At 43.0% G+C, this 25,325-nt stretch overlaps 1 protein-coding gene across 3 annotated transcripts in view, besides 1 other annotated feature; it reads left to right on the top strand.

Annotated features, from left to right (window-relative positions):
• The window catches only part of OPCML (opioid binding protein/cell adhesion molecule like), a 1,117,521-nt gene that overhangs the window by 186,369 nt on the left and 905,827 nt on the right, over nucleotides 1-25,325 (top strand). The window lies entirely within an intron of this gene.
• Nucleotides 7,774-8,284: an enhancer, noted in NCBI's record as "H3K27ac-H3K4me1 hESC enhancer chr11:133207744-133208254 (GRCh37/hg19 assembly coordinates)". NCBI's record gives its function as "activates a minimal SCP1, AML or CMV promoter by ChIP-STARR-seq in naive H9 embryonic stem cells {active_cell/tissue: H9 hESC(naive)}" and the evidence as "EXISTENCE:reporter gene assay evidence [ECO:0000049][PMID:30033119]".

The following is a 25,325-nucleotide window of genomic DNA, read 5'->3' as shown; positions in this document are numbered from 1 at the left end:
TTATCAGGATCTTAACACTAAGGTCATCATTTTTGTAGAAATAACAAAATCTTGTCAATCTGGATAAACCTAAACAACCTCAACTTTGATGAAGAACTACACTAATGCAGATAAAATTCTAGGTTATTCTAGTAAAATCTTCTGGCTTCTGATTGGTGTATTAGCGACCAGAGCTAAGAAAGTAATAGTCCTGCTTTAGGTTCTATTGATTAGACGAAATCTAGAGTGCCTGTGTTCATTGCAGCCACCACACCTTAAGAGGAATATTGAGAATTGAAGTGTATCAGACAGAAAGGACCAGGCTAATGTTACAGTGTGAAATGTCATCAGAGCAATTAATGAAGGCCTGGGTGGGCTTGAGCCTAGAAGATACCACTAGAAGAACCAGAAGAGCTCTTTCTTCACGGATCTGAAGATCGATTAAATTTGCTCTCTACGGCCCTAGTCAAATCCAAAAGTACCAGAAGGAAGTTACAAAGCAGCACATCTTGGTTTAGTGCAAAAAAAGAACATTGTGGTAGGAAAATGGCACAAGCAATACGTTCTCTGACAGTGAAGACAAACAAGGGGAAGCCCAAGTGTGATGTTGTGAACAGGAATCTAGCATTTAATGAAAGACTAGGCTAGATGATTCTAGTGCAGTGTGTTTCATGGAACATTACTGCCGTAAGATTATTCAGTACAAAGGATGGGTGGCAAGATAAATATGTTTGGGAAATATACACATTGTGTTTATTCCTCGAGATGCATGATTCATATTAAAAGCAGTAAGTAAATTCATTTAATTTAGCTTAATCCAGGTTTTTCTAAATACATTTGGCTGCTGCCTCTGCCACATTTTTAAAGTAATTTTTGTTTCTACCCTTTGAACACCTAGTGGGAATACTTTCCCATAGATCTCTTCCTATCCTGAGATTTTTTTGTATCAAGAAATCCTGAATTCTTTAAAACAGACCTGGCTTTGATGCGATGGCAGCACTGCTTGATATTTTACTGTTTCCAGGAATGAGAGTGTTACTTTAGGCCTCTGTGCTTGATATAGGGGGGCTGGTGTATATGATTTGAGATCAATGTGATGGTCGGGATTGATTTTAAAGAGAGGTAATGGAAGTCACGCAGAGGGTGATGGTAAGGAAGAGCCTAAGGCTGTAATCACTGATGTGTTTGAGGGAATCTCCGCATGTGACGTGGCTAGCAAGTCCTCCTCACTTGTTAACTGTGTCTCTTTGCAAGCTCCTAAGAGGTGTCCCAATTCCCAGGAAGGTACATTATTTTCAGGGAAAGAGGACACACACCATGTCTCCAGGTGCTGAGGCAGGGGTTGTCATGATGGAGGTGGCATCATTTTATGGTTTTACTTTTAGCTAGGTCTTCTCTTTCATACTTTCATTAAAGAAAATGACAAGCAAACCCCTATTTTTCTGTAATTTTTGAAATGCAGAGTGTCACATTTAGATACAGCAAGAGATAGAAGTGTGGGGGGTTCTCAAAAAGAGAGAAGTAGGAGGTGGGGCTCCTTGAGTTGTTTTTGGTGCAGGAGCCATGGCCAGCATGCCACATGTGAAGGAAGAAGAGTGAGCAGCAGTTTGTAATGCACAGGGGAAGCAAGGGTGTGATGCCGTAAGATGGGAGGGAAGGAGTGTCTTGAATGTCAGAACGCAACAGGATTTGTCCAATTTGGCTGGGAGAGGGGCAGTGGGGTAAAATGTTCAGTGTGTCAGAGAAAGGTAATTCTGAACATTAGGTAGCCAAGAGTAGGTTAAGGAGGGAAGCCGTGCCAGGACTATAGCAGTAGGTAATGCACCCTTTTCGCAAAGACAGCATTGGCTCTCAGGGCTAAGCTCAGAGAGACTGTCAGTGGGTTCATTTATTCAACAGTGACTCAGCTGGAGAAATACCACCTGGGGCGGCCAGATCGTGTCCCTTATTCTAGCAGGAGTGAGGGCTGCTATTGTGTGAGTGTGACTAAACCGGAAGTTAGGGAGGGAGCACGCTGATTGCCCGATGGATTATGACGAATGGAGAGGGCACTCACCCTACACCACATAAGTGGGTGGGAGTGGAGAGTCTGCAGCGCACCTTGTCAATGTGTTTCCTCGCAGGGTTTAATCTTTCATCATAAAGGCTATTAGGGATTTCATCACAGGCTGCTCTGGCAATTAGTTCAGAATAAACTGAGAAAACTGCAGGGACTTTGCGGAGGAGACTTCAGCCTTTGCATTTATAGCGCTTTTTTTAAAGTAAAATAATGACTGTGTTTAAATTGTACAGAGATATTTATAAAAGGGATAAAATTTTAGGCTATTTTGGGAAGATGTGGTACAGGAGAAGAGAAGGGAGAAACCCACAAGCCACCCTGTGTCAGGCCTCTTTTTTCCCATTTGTAAAGTGATTGAATTTTATTTTAAGTATCCATGATTGGTATTAAATCCATTACAGTGCTAGGTAGACAGCTGAAAAGAAATTAATGGAATCTTTAGATGTTGGTAAAATGTAATTCTAATGCTCATTGTGTTGAAGTAAATAACCTGGTTGTGAATAGTTTAGAACCTTCTCTAACCCTAGAGAAAAAAAGTTCCCTCTCACTCCCAGGGTTGAAAACGCCCCCTCTGAGAGTCAAATTGTGTGGTTCTATCTCTGATCTCAGGCAGAAGGAAATTGCAATATAAGGCTTGGCTCTGTTTCAGTAGGCCATGTTGCCTGATAAGGTTAATTGATTTCCATTGCTTTAATTAACAAAATTAATTTTTTATCTAATGAGGGAGATTTGGGAGTGACATGGGTAGATGGAAAGATGACAAGTGTCAGCCCCATAGTTAAAGAGTGACGTAGGCCCTGTGAGGATGGGCAACACAAAGAACCCCCGAGTCACGGAGTGATTAGGGGCGGGTGACTACACCATGAGCATGCCACTTCTCTCTCTCTTAAGACCATCCTGAACCTTGCTGGAGAGAACTTGGACTTTGTTACTCTCTTGTAATGGTGGCTTTCAGAAATCCATCATGGTGTGTCACAGTGGCTCATGCCTGTAATCCCAGTGATTTGGGAGGCCCAGCTGGGAGGATTGTTTGAGGCTAGGAGGTCAAGGCCAGCCTGGGTGAAACTCCATCTCTATAAAAATTTAAAAAATGTAGGGAGATGTTCAAAGGTTGCAGCGAGCTATGATTGTGCCACTGCACTGCAGTGTGGGTGTTAAAGCAAGACCCTGTTTCCAAAGAAAAGAAATCTATCACCTCTTCCTCATGAGTCTCCAAAATGAGTAATTCTCAGCAAAGTCTCCATGAAGGCCTAAGGTACCATGAGAGTCTGCTCCAGACCAAATTTAGCTCCAGGTTCTTGCTCCCTCTATGTCCCAAACGGCCTTCTCGGAAGCCAGCATTGTCCTGAGCCTGGGCCAGCTCAGCTGCAGGAGACTCCACCTGAGTCTTCTGTTTTTGCAAACACAGGGCAGGAGACTGGAGCTGTCCGCTGCCTGTAGACTGCCACTCTTCGCCCTCCCTCTTCACACGCTTCACTAGTCACACATATTCCACCCAACCTCCGCACGGGTCCCTCTGGAGGGATGACTTGCAGCCCGCCTTGTTTATGTGTCTGGCATCAGTAGGCGGCAGGGAGATTTGCTCCTCATCACTTTGATCAATCTTTCTGCTGTTGAAGCCTCTCAATGAGTTGAAAGTGATTTTCCCTGCTCTATGTACAGGTAGGAGCAGATCGCCTTCGATTTCTAGTACAGAGACAGCGGCACTCTATCAAGTTGTTGCGTTGCATAACCATGAGTGCGGGGCGCGGTGTTTCCTGTGCTCATGGAGTGATGGTCATGCTTGGCATTGTGATCCATCTTAGCCCTGTTTGCTAGTGTGCTTTACGTCAAAAGCACAGCTATTTCTAGTGTGTTAGTTCTCTTCCCCCTGGGAGTCTCTGAAAGATGGAGGCCTCTAGGGATGGTTGAAAGGAGCACTGCAAAACTGCCATGATTAGTTCTGATGACTGAGGAAGCTAATGCCTAGCCGGGAGATATCACATGGAAGCCTCAAAGCTGTCTTCCTGCCTCCCCTAGAAACACATTTTGCTTTCTCCCTAAACAGAGTTCAGACAACTTCTGTCGAGTCCTCCTCTGTGGGACTCAAGAAAGAGTGCTGTTCCTTCAGGCTCGATGTTATTAATTCCTGGTTCCGATTCACAGGAGTAATGCTGCAAAGGCTTTTTTTTTTCCCCAAAATGGAGTCTTATTCTTTCGCCCAGGCTGGAGTGCAATGGCGCGATCTCGGCTCACTGCAACCTCCACCTCCCAAGTTCAAGCTATTCTCCTGCCTCAGCCTCCCGAGTAGCTGGGATTACAGGTGCCACCACTAAGCCCGGCTAATTTTTGTAGTTTTAGTAGAGATGGGGTTTTGCCATGTTGGCCAGGGTGGTCTTGAACTCCTGACCTCAGGTGATCCACCTGCCTTGGCCTCCCAAAGTGCTGGGATTACAGGCGTGAGCCACTGTGCCAGGCCAACTGCTGCAAAAGCATTTTAAGGGAGACTGATTTCTCTTCCTCCTGCAAAACAAAAGGAAACATTTTGGGATTGCCTACAAGCATGCACCCAGGCAAATCTTCCTGTAGGGTATTCAGCTGAGCATTGTGTTTTCACCTTGACTTCATGGGTGGAGGGAAAACAGCATCACCCAAGGGCACCTGAAAGTCAGTCAAAGGGTAGGAGCTCCTGCATCACTTGTCCATGTCAAGGCGACTCAAGGAAACTTAGAAATGTCCAGGAATAAGTTGTCTATCTGGTCGAGGCACCTCATTTGACACATGAGAAGGCTGAGACTCACAGAAATTAAGTCCTATTTTGAAGTTCCAGAGTTTGCTAATATTGAACTGGAATTAGATCAAGACCTTTTTTCATTTTTTGTTCATTAGAATTCACCCATATGCTTAACATTTTTTGGTTGACTATTTATTGAGCACCCATGATGTACAGGCAGGCAGGGTTCTAGGTATGGGGGATTCAGGAATGAATGGAATTGACAGAGTCCCACAAGAAGCTCGCAGCTGGGTGTGTGCATGAGGACAGAGCTATGAGTTAATAAATACACACCTAGTGTCAGGTATCTGTGCTGTGAAGAAGAAGAGAAGAAGGGGGATAGGCAGTGATGGGAGTGCTAATTTGCAGGAAGTGTCAGGGTCGCATCTTTTTAACACTGGTATTCAACAGAGACAGGCAAGAAGGAGAACAGGAGCTATGTGGCCCTTGCAGAGAAGACTATTCTTGATAGAGGGAGCAGCAATTACAAAAGCCTTTAATTTCATTATTTTTCCCCCTTCGTCACAGAAACAGGTGCTTAGGAATTATACATTTTCTTATACATACACTTAAGCCTCTCTCTACCTAGCACACACACACACACATACACATTCTTAATTCACGGGCTAAAGTAGTTATACCGAGAATGGCTATTAATAAAAAGAAGAGGTAGAGGGAAATGTAAAAGCTCTTACACACACACACACACACACACACACACACACACACACACAGAGAGAGTCTTAATTTGTGGGCTAGAGTAGTTATATAGAGATCAGCTATTAATATAAAGAACAGGTAGAGGGAAATATACAAGCTTTTATACACACACACGGTGTTAATTTGTGGGCTAGAATAGTTATATAGGGATCAGCTATTAATAAAAAGAGGAGGTGGGGAAAAGTACAGGCTTGAAAGACTGTAGATGAATTCAAGGTGGAACAGTCTTTTGAGTCTACCACTTTGCCATCGATTCCACACCTACTCTAAGATGAATAGGCTGGTGTTGAAACTGGGAAGTGCATTTCTAATCACAACTGGTCAGCATTCCACTGCATACTGCCGGATTACCCGGAGAGTCAAAGGACACTCTTTGGAGCCTGGAAGTTGATTCCAAGGTTCTATTTCTTGTACACTCAGAGACCAGTGCCTTCAGACAAGGCCCAGGGGCAGCAGGGTCAGAGGTGATGTCCTACTGCAATCCACAGAGTTCTCACTGCCATGTAGACAAAGGCAGCATTTAGTGGCACAGCTGCATATTCTTCAGAGTTAGAAAAGGAAACATTTTTTTTCTAGATACAAATGGGGCACCAAAGATTCCAGAAAGCAGAGATGCATGGTTTGAGTCAGTGTGGTGTGGCACTAAAGGCACAGGAGACTATGGCCAACTTGTTCATTTTCTTTTACAGGATTTTTGTGAGACTTGGGGGTTGCGATGTTCTCAGGAGCCATGTACTATGCTGATCTAATTCAATTGGGCTTTTGTTATGTTCTGAGTATTGGCAAGATTCTACGAGGGCTACAAAATAAAATTACACTTTTGTCTCTCTGAAATGACTCATAGTCTTTCATAACAAGGTAGGTCATGGACCTAGAACAACAGGAGCCCAGCACACAGTGATGTGTGATTATGTGCCATGAGGTCCAGGAGACAAGGGTAGGCTTGGCCCTCTAGAGACCACTGCAGAGCAGCGGGCTGGACTTCAGCCGGCTTTTGAGGAGTGGCTAAGATTCAAAGAAGGGGAAGGCAGAGCAGGCCAGATGGAAGAAAGGGTAAATCTGAGCATCGTTTGTTTTACTAGACCATGATGAGGCTGGCCTGGGTAGAATGGAAGCTTCCTTGGCTCAGAGGAAGCTATAGTGAAAAGACTGTGTTTGGGGGAAACAGTGGGCAGCCCTCCCTGCCACGTGGAGAGGTGAGTGGCTAAGAGCATGGGCTATGGGAACAAACCCCGGTTTCAAATCATGGCTCCCACACTCACTAGCTGTGTGACCTTGGCAAATTCCATAACCTCTGAGTCTCAAGCTTTTTCATCTTTAAATTGGAGAAGGTAATAACACCTAATTCAGAAGGCTGTTATGGGAATTGTGTGAATTAATACAATGCAAAGTTATAATGAAATGCCTAGCATATATTAAAGAACTCAATAGTCATTTTTATTAATAATAAAATCATATTTTGCTGATAAGAGTGGAAGCACATCACAGATAAACAGATAATCGAGTAGAGTTGTATTAATAGCTTAATGCGGGAGTAGGAGATAAAAGTTGTATTTTGAAATGTATCCTGATGCTGGTGTGACAGGTGGGTCTCACCAGGTGAGAGACAATAGGAACATTGTCAGCTGGACACGCTCAGTCCTTGCACCTGGGCAGGGACAACAGGAACAGGGATGATGGGAAGAATCTCAGATTTATTTGAGAAAGAAATTAGCAACCCCTGTCTTGAGAAAAGCCAGCTCTTTGAACATCTCTTCCCAGCTTTAAGTCTCACATGTGGAGGATACACAGGATTCCTCACACTGCTGGCCAGGCCAGTTCCTGGTGCGTGGGCAAAGCTTTTCCCTAGCAGACACACTCCTTTCCAGAGCTATCTCTATCAAACCAAAGATTATAGGGATGGTTGGGGAAATTCCAATTTTCTCTTTGGCAGGCTAGAATGAGGCACCTTTTTGAGCTTTCTCTCCATCATTTCAACCCGCCCTAGAGACTTCAGCCCTAACAGAGTGGCAAATGTTGCCTTCTGAGCCTTTTTGTGGTAAGTCCAGTGCAGAGTAGTCTGCAGCACATTGGCTGGCCGGAAGGGCCAGTGGTGGGCAGTTTCGCTGTTGGCCCTCTTTATAGGAGAGGAAGGCAAAGCTAAAGCTCAGGAACAAGGCAGCAGAGCCTCAGAGCTGGCCAGCACACCCCCTCCACCTTAATTCCCTTTCGTCTGCAGCATGGTATCCCAGACAGCTGTGGCACATCCCTTCACCCCGCCCCAGTCAATATGGCATCGCCCACCTGGGTCAGTCACCAGGGCCCAGGATGATGAAACAGGTGCTTGCTTTTGTAGCAAGAGAGCCAGTGGCGGGTAAGTGCCTGCTGTGCTGTTTTTGATATCACCTCTGAGATGAATTAAGTGTCTGAGGCCTGCAAGATTGCAGCACTCACAGGCTGTCATTGAAACAATTGCATTCAATGGAAGAAAACAAACTCCTTTTCCTCTGGCAGTCATCTTTTGATTCTGTAGAAACAGGAGCTAAGCTGATGGAAAACAGAGAATGTAACAAAGCCCCCTTCCCCCATAACGGATGAGTCAGAGGCTTTGTGAGCCACAGGGTTTCTTGTGTTGTGCCCAACACAGGACGGCCCTGTGGCTTCCACAGGTAGCAGGGCTGGGCACGGGAGCTGAAAGCCCTCCCAAGCAGGAGACAGAAACCACTTGGAAATGAGTGGTGGGGATCAGTGTGTGAGCCCCCAATTTCAGAATTCAGCTGTAATATTCATATCATCTTGTACTGCTGTAACATCATCTCCTTTTTATTTAAGCTCAACGTTTGCAAAATTCTATAGCAATTTTAAGGGTTTCTGTGCACCAGATTTCACCCTGAGTTGAAACCTAGCCCAGGTATTCTTACTTTGAGTTCTATTTGGAGGCCATTTTTACATGGAAGTTTTGATGAAGTCTGCTGTAAAAGTGCCCTGGTGAGGTAAGGAGTGAGAATTGATAGATATGAGGAGTCTCTTCCTCAGAAGTCAACTGACTGTACAGTATGTAAGGCTTCTTCCCACAGCAGCAGGTAAAGGCACTAAAGTGGTTGCTGACTTCCCCAGATAGCTCAGAAATCCACAAAAAGGGGCAAGAGCTGAGGCCACCTGAGCTTGCAGTCTCTGTTGTTACTGGCCCTGCAGCGGATCCTGCGAGACTTCCATGGAAGTCCGTGGTTCCCCAGGCAACTGGGCGATTGTTCCTCCTGCCTTGCAAGACCAGACATCTGTTGACTGCATATTGATCAATAGCAGCACTGTAGGTGAGTGGGCCAGTGGGTGGTAGTATTTAGAGACTAAGGGAGTCTCTGTCTCTAAGCTTTACAGAGAGGTCTGCACAGGTGACAGGTGTTCAGAGATTCTCTCAAAATGGTGGCTGACTCCTTGGCATCTCTTGCCTTAGGAAAAGAAACAGAATTACTGACATTTCATGTCTTGCTTATCATATCTAAATAGCATAGACTTACCCCAACTATTTTTACTGTCATAAAACATCTTTCCAGGGCATGAGGGGTTGCGCGCTTCTCTTTTGCCTCTAAGATAAGATGCTGTGCCTGTGTGAGGCCATTCTGCATTTTATATTCATTTGGTTCTTTGCTGCCCTTGCAAATTTAACAGCCTTCAAAATTGGATGCTTCTCACTGGTTCTATAATGAAGTAGCAATTTGTCTCCACATCAGAATCCAGGTATAGCTGTGCTAACTTGAAGCCTGCCCTTGAGCTTCTGGAGAATGTTAAATATTTCCATCTGTAGAAAATCCCTGGGTATCACAAAAATGGGGAGGAAGAAGTCCTCATTCTTTTCATAACAAATGGGGGTGTAAGGAAGTAAGGAAAGAGAGATGCTAAGAGCAAGGACATTCACTAAAAGTAGAACCTCTGATAGCAACAGCAATCTGCCCATCCTTTTTATTCCTCTCACTCCAAGTGAAATGCTCAGTTGAGGCTGGGGGAAATTGATTTCTTTTAAACTAACACTGAATGAATTTCTATTGTATTTCAGGCACTGGGACATTTCTATTTCTTGTCTCATTTAAATTTCTCAATCCTATAAAAGGGATTCTATATTGACTTCCATCTTAAAAGCAATGCTACTATGTCTTAGAGACATTATATATCAATGGCAATACACTTATTCAATATACAAACTTTAACCTAGATTTGTCTGGTCCTAGATTCCAAATTCTTAGCCACTAGATCCTACTACTTGAGTTTGTCTTTTTTTTTTCCCATTAGTGGAATCTATAATTCTGTGAGACCCAAAGAGGCTAAAGTGTTTTCCTAAAACCTGTTTGGCTCCTGGCCTCTGAGTCTCATACCTAGTGGATCTCCTTCATTTATCCCCCAGATCCCAAGACCAACGCTGCTCTGAGACAGAAGGGATTAGTATTACCAGTTCTTGTCCTGCACGCTGTGAGCTCTGTATCATGCGGCCTTCACTTTTTTACATAACTTTGATTGGGTACCTTGGCCATGAGACAGCCCTCACCTTTGTTCTGAAGTCCACTTCTTTAATGATATTGATTCCATTTCCTAACCTGGCCCTCTAGTTTCATCCTGGGATAGGCATCCTGGCATGCTTTATTGGTTCCTCCTTTCAGGAATTGGACTCTACATGTGGCTGTGTCCTGCTACTTGCAAACAGAGCCCCTAGATGGAGACTCCTTTCTTTCAGGACTCCCATCACTGTTGTTCTCTGTGGTTGGTAGGACACCCTGAGCCTGCAGTGAACAACTCCTACAACCAGCTTCCTGCTTGGACCTCAACGGGTTATCAGTTTGATTCTTGGGAGCTACACTTGCCAGTAGCCTGCACCTCCTCTCTTAATCCATACAGCTGGGTCAGTTTTGCTGCATCCTCGCCCGGTTAATTGTCCAAGACACACTGTCTTAAGGAGATTTGGAATGAGAGTGAGGATGATGTCAAAGACTTGGAGGAGGCGATTCCAGTGTTGAATTAACTGTTTTTCTGATTGAAAGTCAACTTATCCTCTAGTCCAGAGGCCATCATTGAAAACAATTTTAGGGAGGCTGAGGATGCTTTCCCTCCTTTAATCTATGTAATATCATAGCCCACCGAGTTTGCCTACACCAGCAGCAGCCTCACCAGGAGAGGCGCTGACTTCATGGATGCAGCCTCCAGGGGTGACGCAGTCCAGGGCCCACACTGTAAATTGAAGTCCGCCTTGTCTTGTTCTGAAGACAATCTGCCGGCCACTTGTCAGGTACGAAGTGCTGACATGTGTTGAAATGAGAACTGGATTTGGAGTTAGGAAATCTAGTCACCTGGACCATTCTGCCATTCTGTATGACTTTGGGGAAATCACAGCCTTTCAGCCTGAGCTTCCTTTATTATAAAATGAAGAGTAAGAACGGCAGCCTTGCCCATCATGAAAGATGGTTGTAAGGATTAAAGCTGAGGTTCTCAACCAGAGGTGATTTTGTTGCCAAGGGGACATTTTACAATGTCTGAAAGGGAGTTGCTAATGACATGTAGAGAGCAAAGTTCAGGGCTGTGGCTAAACACAGGCATGGGACAGCCCCCGGCAAAGTAGCCAGCCCAACATGTCAACAGTTCAAGTTGAAACATGCATCCATTTAATGTGTTTCAGATTTAGGGTCCAGCCACAGACTGAGCTCTGCTTCCATGGAGCGCACCAGTAGGTAAGAGCAGAGACAGCACATCATCAATGGGCTTATTCCTGTTGCCCCTCTCATGCCCTACCCAAAGGCCGCCCCAGACTGGCCAATGGCCTCTACAAACCCTCTCCCATGGAGATCCAGAAGATTGCAAGTTAATCCTCACCAAAGTCCATTGATTATGGGGCTCTTGGCTCTCACTCACTGGTACACTCTATGGGAGCAGGGCTCGGTCTGCTTGTTCTGGACCCTAACATCTGAAAAGAGGCCAATGGGTTAAAGTGTTTTTTCCTTTTAAAAAAACTTTCATTTTAGGTTTGGAAGTCCATGTGAAGGTTTGTTACAAAGATAAACACATGTCATGGGGGTTGTTGTACATATTATTACATCACCCAGGTGTTAAGCTCAGTACCCAATAGTTATCTTTTCTTTTCCTCTCCTTCCTCCCACCCTCCCCATCAAGTAGACCCCAGTGTCTGCTGTTTCCTTCTTTTTGTTCATGAGTTCTCATCATTTAGCTCTCACTATAAGTGAGAACATGCTGTATTTGATTTTCTGTTCCTGAGTTAGTTTGCTAAGGATGATAGCCTCCAGCTTTATCCATGTTCCTGCAAAAGACATGATCTTGTTCTTTTTTTTCACTGCTGCATAATATTCCATGGTGTATATGTACCACATTTTCTTTATCCGTATCTGTCATTGATGGGCATTTAGGTTGATTCCACGTCTTTGCTGTTTGAAGAGTGCTGCAATGAATATTTGTGTGCATGTGTCTTTATTGTAGAATGCTTTATATTCCTCTGGGTATATACCCAGTAATGGGATTGCTGGGTTGAATGGTAGTTCTGCTTTTAGGTCTTTGAAGAATCACTGTACTGCTTTCCACAACAGTTGAACTAATTTATATTCCCACTAACAGTGTGTAAGGGTTCCCTTTTCTCCACAACCTCACCAGCATCTGTTATTTTTTAACTTATTATAAACAGCCATTCTGACTGGTGTGAAATAGTATCTCACTGTGGTTTTGATTTGCATTTCTCTAATGATCAGTGATATTGAACTTTTTTTTTAAATGCTTGTTGGACACATATATGTCTTCTTTTGAGAAGTGTCTGTTCATGTCCTTTGCCCACTTTTCAATGGGGTTTTTTGTTTTTCTCTTGTAAATTTGTTTAAGTTCCTTATAGATGCTGGATACTAGACCTTTATCAGATGCATAGTTTGCAAATATGTTCTCCCTTTCTGTAGGTTTTCTGTTTACTCTGTTGATAGTTTCTTTCGCTGCACAGCAGCTCTTAAGTTTAATTAGATCCCATTTGTCAATTTTTGCTTTGTTGCAATTGACTTTGATGTCTTTATCATGAAATCTTTGCTCATTCCTGTCTAGGATGGCATTGCCTAAGTTATCTTCCAGAGTTTTTATAGTTTTGGGTTTACATGTAAGCCTTTAATTCATCTTGAGTTGATTTTTGTGTAGCGTGTAAGGAAGCGGTCCAGCTTCAATCTTCTGCATATGGCTAGCTAGTTATCTTAGCACCATTTACTGAATAGGGAGTTTTTTTTTTCCCATTGCTTGTTTTTGTCAGCTTTGTTAAAAATCAGATGGTTGTGTTATGCCTGTAATCCCAGCACTATGGGAGGCCAAGGTGGATGGATCACCTGAGGTTAGGAGTTTGAGACCAGCCTGGGCAACATGGTGAAACCCAGTCTCTACTAAAAATACAAAAATGTACTGGGCATGGTGGTGGGTGCCTGTAATCCCAGCTGCTTGGGAGGCTGAGGCAGAAGAGTCGCTTGAACCTGGGAGGCAGAGGTTGCAGTGTGCTGAGATCACACCATTGCACTCCAACCCGGGTAACAAAACGAGACTCTGTCTCAAGATACTACTACTACTACTACTACTACTAGTACTACTACTACTACTAAAAGATTAGATAGTTGTGGATATGCTGCTTTACTTCTGGGCTTTCTATTCTGTTCCATTGGTCTGTGTGCCTGTTTTTGTACCAGTAGCATGCTGTTTGCGTCACTGTAGTCTTGTAGTATCGTTTGAAGTCGGGTAACATGATTCCTTAGTTTTGTTCTCAATAAAATACTTGCAAACCAAATCCAGCAACACATTAAAAAGCAAATCCACCATGATCAAGTAGACTTCATCCCCGCAGGCAAGGTTGGTTCAACATATGAAAACTAATCAATGTGATTCATCAGATAAACAGAACTAAAAACAAAAACCACATGACTATTTCAGTAGATACATAAAAGGCTTTTTCCCATTTATTTTAACATAAAGTTTTTAACTTCATGTTAAAAACTTTCAATAAAGTAGGTATTAAAGAAACAGACCTCAAAATAATAAGAGCCATCTATGACATACCCACAGCCAACATTTTACTGAATGGGCAAAAGCTGGAAGCATTGCCCTTGAAAACCATTACAAGACAAGAATGCCCTCTCTCACCACTTCTATTCTCTCACCACTTCTATTCAACATAGTATGGGAAGTGCTAGCCAAATCATTCAGGCAAGAGAAAGAAATAAAGGGCATCCAAATAGGAAGAGAGAAACTCAAACTATCTCTGTTCCAGATGACATCATTCTCTAGCTAGAAAACCCCATAGCCAGCTGAAGCTCCTTCAGCTGGTTAAAAACATCAGCAAAGTTGCAGGATACAAAATCAATGTGCAAAAATTACTGGCATTCCTGTACACCACCAACAACCAAACTGAGAGCCAAATCAGAAAGGCAATCTCATTCACAATTGCCACACACATAAAATAAAATAACTAGAAATATGGCTAACTAGGGAGATGATAGGTCTCTACAATGAGAATTACAAAACCTTGCTCAAAGAAATCAGAGAAGACACAGATGGAAATCATCCCATGCTCATGGATAGGAAGAATCATTATCGTTCAAATGACTATACTTTCCAAAGCAATTTACAGATTCTATGCTACTCCTATCAAACTACGAATGACACTCTTCACAAAAACTAGAAAAAAATATTTTAAAATTTATATGGAACCAAAAAAGAGCCCAAATAGCCAAGGCAATCCTAAGCAAAAAGAAATTTTTTTAATGGAAAAAGTAGCCACCATGGCCATACTTTCTGTAGGTTTTTATAAATGTAAATCAAATACAGGAAAAATTTAGAAAATAAGTAAAGGAAAGATGGCCTATGTGCAATAATGGAAAGGTAGAAGGATAAGATGTGATTAATGTTTTACAAATGCTAAAATTTCAAATAGAAATAAAGTAGAATTTTGAAATAATAGAGGTTGAGTTATAATAAAGGTAAAAGGTCAAGAGTTAGAAAATAGTATGTAATTGACAAGTCTTAAAGCCAATGATTAAGAGACAAGGCTAAACCCACAGCATAAACTAAACATTTAGAAACAATAGTGATACTTTTTAAAAAAGAGTGTTTTTTGTTTTTGTTTTGTTAGTACTTGAAAATTAAAAATAATGAGAAAGAAATAAGAAAACTCCAGTTAGAAGTAAAGGCTGTAACTAAAGCCACGGTGGCTCTGATCCCCCTGTGGTCTCTGTGGAAATGGCGACACTCCTCCAGAGTAGAGAGGACTGGGGTGGGAGCCTACATTGCATGATTGATGTCAGCTGTCCTTGTCACCCATACTGGTAAGGATCTAAGACATGGGTCAAGTCACAGCCCACAGCCAATTCTTCCTCCTTTTGCAACTTACCAGCTTACCAGGCCAGCAGGCAAGTGGGGTTTGGTTTCAGTTCTGACTCTACGGGGCCACTCCTTGCAGGGTCTGCTGCTTTCATCTCACCTGCTCGTTCTTGAACTTTCTATAATAATAGAGCAACACAAAGGCTCATGAGTGACCAAATCCCTTTCTCTTCCAGTTTTACTCCTGGATCCTCACTTTATCTACACCAATTGTATTGGAAAGCAGATAGAGGGACACCCTTTGTAATAACTTGGACTTGGGTTCAAATCATGACTTTGCCCACTATTAGCTGTGTAACTATTAAACAATTTTATTAACTTCTTTGAACTTCGGTTGTCTCATACAACAAAGGAGGAAAATATAAATAAGTTTACCCCTCTTAATTGTGCAAATGAGAACATTTTTTTAAATTTTATTATTATTATACTTTAAGTTTTAGGGTACATGTGCACAACGTGCAGGTTTGTTACATATGTATACATGTGCCATGTTGGTGTGCTGCACCCATTAACTCGTCATTTAGCATTAGGTATATCTCCTATGCTATCCTTCCGCCCTCCCCCCACCCCACAACAGTCCCTGGTGTGTGATGTTCCCCTTCCTGTGTCCATGTGTTCTCATTGTTCAATTCCCACCTATGAGTGAGAACATCTGGTGTTTGGTTTTTTGTCCCTGCAATAGTTTGCTGAGAATGATGGTTTCCAGCTTCATCCATGTCCCTACAAAGGACATGAACTCATCATTTTTTATGGCTGCATAGTATTCCATGGTGTATATGTGCCACATTTTCTTAATCCAGTCTATCGTTGTTGGACATTTGGGTTGGTTCCAAGTCTTTGCTATTGTGAATAGTGCTGCAATAAACATACGTGTGCATGTGTCTTTATAGCAGCATGATTTATAATCCTTTGGGTATACACCCAGTAATAGGATGGCTGGGTCAAATGGTATTTCTAGTTCTAGATCCCTGAGGAATCGCCACACTGACTTCCACATTGGTTGAACTAGTTTACAGTCCCACCAACAGTGTAAAAGTGTTCCTATTTCTCCACATCCTCTCCAGCACCTGTTGTTTCCTGACTTTTTAATGATCACCATTCTAAGTGGTGTGAGATGGTATCTCATTGTGGTTTTGACTTGCATTTCTCTGATGGCCAGTGATGATGAGCATTTTTTCATGTGTTGTTTTGGCTGCATAAATGTCTTCTTTTGAGAAGTGTCTGTTCATATCCTTTGCCCACTTTTTGATGGGGTTGTTTGTTTTTTTCTTGTAAACTTGAGTTCATTGTAGATTCTGGATATTAGCCCTTTGTCAGATGAGTAGGTTGCAAAAATTTTCTCCCATTCTGTAGGTTGCCTGTTCACTCTGATGGTAGTTTCTTTTGCTGTGCAGAAGCTCTTTAGTTTAATTAGATCTCATTTGTCAATTTTAGCTTTTGTTGCCATTGCTTTTGGTGTTTTAGACATGAAGTCCTTGCCCATGCCTATGTCCTGAATGGTATTGCCTAGGTTTTCTTCTAGGTTTTTTATGGTTTTAGGTCTAACATTTAAGTCTTTAATCCATCTTGAATTAATTTTTGTATAAGGTGTAAGGAAGGGATCCAGTTTCAGCTTTCTACATATGGCTAGCCAGTTTTCTCAGAACCATTTATTAAATAGGTAATCCTTTCCCCATTCATTGCTTGTTTTTGTCAGGTTTGTCAAAGATCAGATGGTTGTAGATATGCGGCATTATTTCTGAGGACTCTGTTCTGTTCCATTGGTCTATATCTCTGTTTTGGTAACAGTACCATGCTGTTTTGGTTACTGTAGCCTCATAGTATAGTTTGAAGTCAGGTAGCGTGATGCCTCCAGCTTTGTTCTTTTGGCTTAGGATTGACTTGGCAATGTGGGCTCTTTTTTGGTGCCATATGAACTTTAAAGTAGTTTTTTCCAATTCTGTGAAGATAGTCATTGGTAGCTTGATGGGGATGGCATTGAATCTATAAATTACCTTGGGCAGTATGGCCATTCTCACGATATTGATTCTCCCTACCCATGAGCGTGGAATGTTCTTCCATTTGTTTGTATCCTCTTTTATTTCCTTGAGCAGTGGTTTGTAGTTCTCCTTGAAGAGGTCCTTCACATCCCTTGTAAGTTGGATTCCTAGATATTTTATTCTCTTTGAAGCAATTGTGAATGGGAGTTCACTCATGATTTGGCTCTCTGTTTGTCTGTTATTGGTGTATAAGAATGCTTGTGATTTTTGTACATTGATTTTGTATCCTGAGACTTTGCTGAAGTTGCTTATCAGCTTGAGGCGATTTTGGGCTGAGACGATGGGGTTTTCTAGATATACAATCATGTCGTCTGCAAACAGGGACAATTTGACTTCCTCTTTTCCTAATTGAATACCCTTTATTTCCTTCTCCTGCCTGATTGCCCTGGCCAGAACTTCCGACACTATGTTGAATAGGAGAGGTGAGAGAGGGCATCCCTGTCTTGTGCCAGTTTTCAAAGGGAATGCTTCCAGTTTTTGCCCATTCAGTATGATATTGGCTGTGGGTTTGTCATAGATAGCTCTTATTATTTTGAGATATGTCCCATCAAAACATTTTTTAGATTGTGAGCTAGTCGAGGATAGGGGCCGTTTCTTATTTGCCTTTGTGTCCTCAATATTTAGTAAAGTGCCCAGCACTTGGTAACTGCTGTATGCTTTTCTAATGATAATGATGAAAACTGAGGTTTTGAGTATTGCATTACTATATGCCAGGAATTGTGCTATGCATTTTACTCTGATTATATCAATTAATCTTTAAGGCTGGGCACAGTGGCTCATGCCTGTAATCCCAGCCCATTGGGAGGCCGAGGCAGGTGGATCACCTGAGGTCAGGAGTTCGAGACCACGCTGGCCAACATGGCAAAACCCCATCTCTACTAAAAATGCAAAAATCAGCTGGGCATGATGGCAGGCACCTGTAATCCCAGCTACTTGGGAGGCTGAGGCAGGAGAATCGCTTGACCTTGGAAGGCGGAGGTTGCAGTGAGCCGAGATCATGTCACTGCACTCCAGCCTGGGTGACAGAGCAAGACTTCATCTCAAAAAAAAAAAAAAAAAATTAAAACACACCCACAAGGTTTATAATATCATTATTCTGTTTTATAGATGAGGCATAGAAGTAATTTGCCCAAGGTCACCTAGCTAGTTTTCAGTTTTTAGCCGTCTTTTAATGAGTGCCTAGGTTTTTAGTAAGCATAGGAGTTAAGAAAGTCAAACGGAAACTGAAGAATATCTAAAATAGCCACCAAACCCGTATAGTGTTCTCTGCAGCTTTGTCTCTGAATACCTCCAAGTGTCTTCTCAAAACTCATATTTACAGTGCGAGCACCTTGTCAGTTTGATCAGAACCCTGGTGCACATGATTCCAGGCTTAGGTGGACTCCCCTTTACTTGGCCTCCGAGTAGTAGCTGTACCCAGGGTCCCCGAACTCTGCTGCAACCCCAACATACCAGGGAACATTGAACAGTCATTCTATGTCTCTGCCTATCAAAGGAAGTGGAGGCTTCAGTGCTGCTCAGAGAATCTGGCAATTATGAAAGTTTAGGTCTATAGAATTCCATGTATCTATGTTGGTCCTTAAACAGAAGTTAGGTAGATAACCTGATTGAGAGAAGAAGGGAAAATGAGCATAAACTAAAGAGATGGGCAGATAGCCTTAAGGAGGGGCAGATTTATCGAAGCTTGAGATCTGCTGTTTCAGAGAATCCAATGCTAATTCCACGATTTTTTTCTGTTACCTCCCTGTCTAGGAATCTGACCCTAGAGAATTACCTCGAGCAGTTGACACTCCAGATGGATATATAAGGCCACACTATCTCTGCAATGAGCGTAAATACACTGAAACACAAGCAGTAATCCTAGAGTCTGCACAAAAACCTGGTGCCAAAATATACAAATGGATCCTTCTAGTACATCCTGGACATTTAGGAAAAACACTTCCTAACCCCTCACCTGCTAACAACTCACACACCACATATCCCCCGCCCACATACACACATACCCACATACCCCCTCATACACACACCCCACCCACATCCCACACACACTACACACACCCACACCCACATACACACACTCACCCTCCCCACACACCCACACCCTCCCCCCACATACACACACCACCACATACCCCATCTCGTGCACACATCCCACCCACACCCCACACACACATACACGCACCCACACCCACATACACACACCCTCCCCATACACCCACACCCCCTCACCCACATACACACACCACCACATACCCCACCTCATACACACACCCCACCCACGCCCCACACACACACTCGCCGCCCCACACACCCTCACCCACACCTCCCTCACTTATACACCCCCCACACCCACACGTCACTACACAATATACACACAATCATACACCCACAACCCCCACCCACAAATGTACACACACCCACACCCCACATCCACATCCACACACTCACTGCCCCACACACCCTCACCTACACCTCCCCCACTTATATACCCCCTACACCCACACCCCACTACACAATATACACACCCATACTCACACCCCCACCCCCACCCACACACATACACCCACACTCCCCAACACCCACATACACCCACCCACACTCTGTACACACATATACCCACAACCCAACACCCACATACACACACCGACACCCCACACACACATATACCCACACCCACTCCCCCCACACACTTACACATACCCACACTCCCACACATACACACACCCACACCCCCTCATACACATACACACACACCCCACACACACATACACACACATACACGCACCCACACACATGCATATCCACACCCACTGTTTCCACACACTTATACATACCCACACCCCCAAACACATACACCCCCACCCCCACACACACATACACACACCCACTCCCCCCACACACTTATACATACCCACACCCCCACACACACCCACACCCCCACACACATACACACACCCCACATACACACACCCACACTCCTCATCTTCTCTTCTTCTTGTTTCCCACACAAAGGAGAGGCAAAATCGGGTGGAATAAAGCTCTCAATTGTTTTTGGAGGGAAAGAGGACTCAGTTATGAACTGACAAGAAAATAAAGCAGCAAGAAAAACAGGTTCAGGATTGCACTCAGTTTTGCTGAGAAAAACAGGAAAAGATGAGCAAGAAATGAGGCTTAATTTTAATGAAGGAAAATTTGCTGCTAAGTAAAGAGATTGCAGGAAGTGGGAGTGCACAGCTTCAGACAAGAGCAAGGCCTTCCGTTCTATTGTGATGGACAAGAGTTTGTTCTTTAGGAAACAGCATTAGCACACAAAAGACTGAAGAGGACAAAATGCTTGAGGTGGAGTCCAGAACAGAGGGCCGCATTGCAGGAAAGAAGGGACCCACTTTCTTCCCAGATGAGCTCTGTAGAGGTCGATTAAGGACATGTCTTTCTCATTCTCTAATTCCTAGTTTTCTCCCATATGAGCACTTTGAACATAGAAAACAGGCTGCTCATCTTGGCAAGTAGTCATCCCTCCTGCCTAGAGTAACTTGATCAGATTTCCTGATAATGGGTTCTTAGGACATCTTAAAACGTCATCATCATTTATTGCCTATTAATAGAATTACAATTTATATATATTCTAATCTACTAAAAGTGGGATATATATGTCTACATATACAAGCACATATATGCACAAACATATATATATAATCTCTCTGTTTTTTGGTTGTTTCTGCATTTTGATAGGCGTTAAAATTACTTCAGTGGGAATAGAGTTTTGTTGGAGTAAAATGACAAAAGGTAAATTGTTTCCACTTGCTAGTTGAAGTTAACAAGCTAGCAACAATTGGAGTAATTTTGTAGGTGTTTGAGCACATAAGGGAGGCTGGGAATGAGCACCCCAAATAATGCCATCCGGCAATCTAATATTTTATGGGTAAACGAAGAGGCCAAAAAAGAATGCTTTGATACATATTTATGCCAAATCAGAACTTCTCGCATTCGCTATCAGAATACAGCACGTCTGAAGCAGTGCACAGTGAGAATGTACTGGGCTTTTCATACCAGAGCTTCCATTAGGAAGGGAGTCTAGTGACGTGGCTCAGCCCACGGGGCCCTTCACCACTGCCAAGGACTGAGGCCAAGACCTTCGTCTCCCCTCCCCTCTCCAGGAGGACAGGCTTCATCCAGAGAACCCAGAATATAGAACGTGGTACTTGCAAATCCTCATCATAGATGCAGTCAAAGAGATTCAAGGATGCAGAGAGGTACAGATGGAGAGTATATAATGATACTATATGTAGAATATACATATATAGAATATATCTATAATACTATATACTATTCTGTATAGCTATAATACTATAGCTCTAATTCTATATATAGAACATATATCTACACACACACATATGAATATATATTTATACATCTCTACACTAAAATTAGATTCTCTGTGGGCAAGAAAGTATTGGCATTGATGTCCTTTTGAAGAATAAAACATTCTCAGCCTCTTTCAAATTTGTGCCTGATTGGTGACAATTTAGCCCTGCCCATAGCAGAGGAACAAGGCCTGCCCCCGCTGCCCTGTAACTGAGGCCGGAGGTCCCACTGCCCTCAGAGAGACAGCCCACCTGGGGCACAGAGGCCCGTAGGCGTCTTAGCAGTTGCTTCTAAAAAGGATTTTCTTCCCTCCCCAGCAGTATGGTTTTATACAGACCCAGAATTCCGTTTTTTCCTAGACGTTCTAGACAACTTCAGAGAGCAAAGTTTTTCTTCATCTTGATTCCAGGCCTGCATTCTTAGATAATTGATTTTTTCACTTGGGCTGAGCAGAGGCAGCATGGCTGTAATTACAGAGTGGTGGCATGCCATCCCGAAAATTTTTTTTTCTCTTTCTCTCAGAAACTTCTCACATCTTGGATTTGAGCAAGGTGGAGACAATCTTTTCAGACCATGGAGCAGGCAGGGATCAGACAACATTTGCCATGAAAAGAGAAAATATTCTAAAAGACCCTCTTCAAATATTCAGGGAGAACCACAGAATGCTGAAGAAAATCCTTATCAGGAATTTTAATGAGCAAAATAAAATATGAAATCAGTGTGATTAAAATCAAATCTTCCCCCTTCTGCTTGGCTGGAGCCGGCTGCCAACTCCGAATGTGGGGAGGCACAGGGAGGCCTTTTGTATTTAATTACTGCCAGGGCTTTTTCTCAGTTCAAAGCTCTCTCCCAAGCCCCCACAGGGGTAATGGAGAACTTGAGAGAACAAATAACCTCCCTTCTGAGTGATTTAGAATCCTGGACAACAAACAATAAACATTTTAACTGAATTGGAGAGACCAAGCCAACTTGCCTTAATTTGTGTCCCTGTTGGGAGCACGGAGAGGGCATAAATGAAGTTTGGGGGAAACTGGGATGTGGGAGCATGCCCCACCTTACCAGGATGGCCCCTTAGTGGCCACTCCGTTCTTTATTTTGTCCCCTCCTTTGTTTTCTCCCAGAATCTCTTTATGCATCTCAAGCCTACAATACTCTGCGATACCTGGACTGTGATATTCACTTCTCCTGCCTGGTGGCCTAGTGGATGCCTCAGCCCACTTGGAGATGGGTCAGTTCTGTCAGTTGCCTTTAGCTCCAGCTTCTGAACTCTGGGCACGGACTGAACACCACCAATAGCATGACCCACAAGAACTGTCCTCAGTGCTGAAGCATTTCCTTCCTTGGTGGTCAGGACAGCTGCTTTTCTCTGGGTGCCTTTCGGGTGCTTGTTAATTTGCAAAGCCTATTTATATAGTGTCTGACTCTTCAGTTCTAACCATATTATTTTTCCATTTACATTCAGATTTGTTTCATTCCAAGCAGTGATTTCATCACCTTTGTCCTATGTGAGGGTGTTTTACATAAGCATTAGAATTGAACAGAACACAAGTGGGCTGTGGAGACTCTCCAGAAATCCAATCTTCTGCTTCTCAGATGAGGAGGTGATAATTGATGTTTTGCCACCAGATACCCTCATGTGGACTGTGAAGCTGGTTTTGCTCTGGCACATGCCTTCCCCCAGCTTGTCCACTGTGGGTAGGAGTGAAACAGGAGATGGCATGAGCTTGGACCACAGGTATCCAGATCCCTGAGTACTAGTGGTGGTCAACGTGCTGGTGGGCTGTTTCTTCTCCCTGAGATTCAGTCTGACTCGTGTCCTGTACCCTACACTTAGATATATTAACAGCATTCTTTTCAATTTAATGTCTGTTAGTATTAACTCAATTTTGTATATACCAGGTCTTGTGCAAGTAGATGTTGAAAAATACACAATTCCTAATTGCTCAGTTGTTTGTTCATTCTTTCAACTAATATTTGTCGGGCAGATATCATGTGTCTGGCACCATGCTAATTTCCAGGAAAAAAGCAGCAGGGTAGGTGGGGAGATGACAGCTTGAACTAAAAACTGGACATATTGAGAAGGGTTTTGGAGATAGAACCAGGGCCTTGGGTGGCGGATTGGATGCGAAAATGTGTAATCAAGGGATACTCCTATATTGTCAGTTTTAACAATTGGGTCATTGGTGGTAGCATTTATATGTCTTGGGGAAGGCTGAAGGCTCTTCCTCAAGTGCCTAAAACCCAGTCTTTTTTTTTGTGGTTGTTCTGATCTTTAATGCAGTAGTTGAAGCAGTGCTCAGAATCAACTGGCATGGGTTTAACTTATTAAAAATCCATTGGCTGGGGCCCACCCCAGTCTTGTTAATTCAACTTATTTGGATGGTGGGACCTAAGCATTTGTGTTTGAAAAAGATCGCCAGACGATTTGTTTGCATATCCCAGTTGAAAAGAATACTTCTGAAAAATGGCATTAAAACATATGTATTATGTGTTTGTGTGCGGGATGTGCATGTATATCTGTATAATCCAACCATGATATGTTTTTAATCTCACACTGAGGTCTCCAGACACCTACCTTTAATTCATCTCTGCCCAATTACCATCAGTCAGTGGCTGCTTAGAGAATGAAACCAATTTTAATATTGATCAGAACAGAGCATAGATAAGTAGATTCAAATGCTGAGTAAGAAAGACCATAGGTTGCAGCCTATGGCCATCAGCCATCTTTAAATGAGTTTGAAATCTTGTATCTGTATTTTTTATTTTTTTAAACTAGCAGCTGCCTTTCATTTGAATGAATAATTGAAAGTTGATGGCATTTGTTAATATGAAACCGCATGTGTTGCGTGTTCCCACATGTGTAATCTTGAATATTTTTCAGCAGAAGACTTCTGCTGTTCGATACTATGGTTTCGGATATTATATGCTTTTCAAATGCCATCCTGCTTGAGGTTTGCAGTCAAATACAGTGATCATGAACACTCATGCCTACTCGTATGTTTGAAATAGTCACGCAGGTATTTTCCATGGCAGCCACCACCTGGAACCCACGGAATCAAACTCGAGTTTCTAATAACCGGTTGGCACTTGGCACATCTGTCTGTTATTATATATTTCAACTAAAGTAGGGTCAATAGCTAATGTGCATTAATATGAAGTAATAAGACAAATGGGTATTTGCTGCACAGGCAGTTAGAAGCAATATTGAAAAGCCTGATTTTATGCTTTTGACATAACCCAAATTGCAGTGTAACATGCCTGTCCAGAGTGGCCCATCCTGTGAAAATGTCTTTTCAGGCCCCTCAAAGGCGAAATCCCACCCACCTGTGAGAAGAGGAAATATTTAGGCCCACATGTGCACACACAAGAGGAGGTCTGTCCCCCCAGACTCCTGTACACTGGCAGTCTGATACGATCTATCTTTTGAATACACCATCCAAACCAACTATGAATGAAATCAATTTAACCAAAATCAATGCTCTTTTGTAGAGCTGCTTAGACTCTAAGTGGAAATGAAACCTTTGAAGCTGCCCTCTCTCAGTAAATGCGGTACTTACGGAGCTTCTGATGGCAGCAGGAGCTTGCAGAATCTTACTCTGTCCAGCACTGCACCTTCATTCCAGAAGCTGGAGAGTAACTAGGAAATGAGTAGAAAAGGAATACATTATGGGTTTTGTTTTTTTTAAAAAAAGTATTTCCTTATCTTAATTTCTACCAAATACGGCATGTTTTATTGTCCCCCCACCTTCCCCCAAGTTCTGGTCACCAGTCTTCAGATACATGCCCTATCCGTACATGAAGACATGGCTGAGGGGTTGTTAAAGTCTCCTTAAGAAGAGGAGCTGGGGGACTCCAGCTGTCTCCTGTTTATTGAAGGAGAATGGCTCTCTGTTTTCTGCCTTAGCCAAACTCCACGGCTGATAAGACCACATCCTCAGCCCTCAGCCAGCTGGGTGCTGCCGTTATTGTGTTCTGCGTATTGAGCAGACTTGCGGGCCCATAAAACAATTTCCTTCATGGACTTTACATCCAGCAGAGATGTTGG

Source organism: Homo sapiens, chromosome 11, assembly GCF_000001405.40.
Source record: "Homo sapiens chromosome 11, GRCh38.p14 Primary Assembly".
Lineage (NCBI taxonomy): Eukaryota > Metazoa > Chordata > Mammalia > Primates > Hominidae > Homo > Homo sapiens.
Note: the sequence above shows the minus strand (reverse complement) of the source record. Positions and strands in the feature narration are given on the sequence as shown.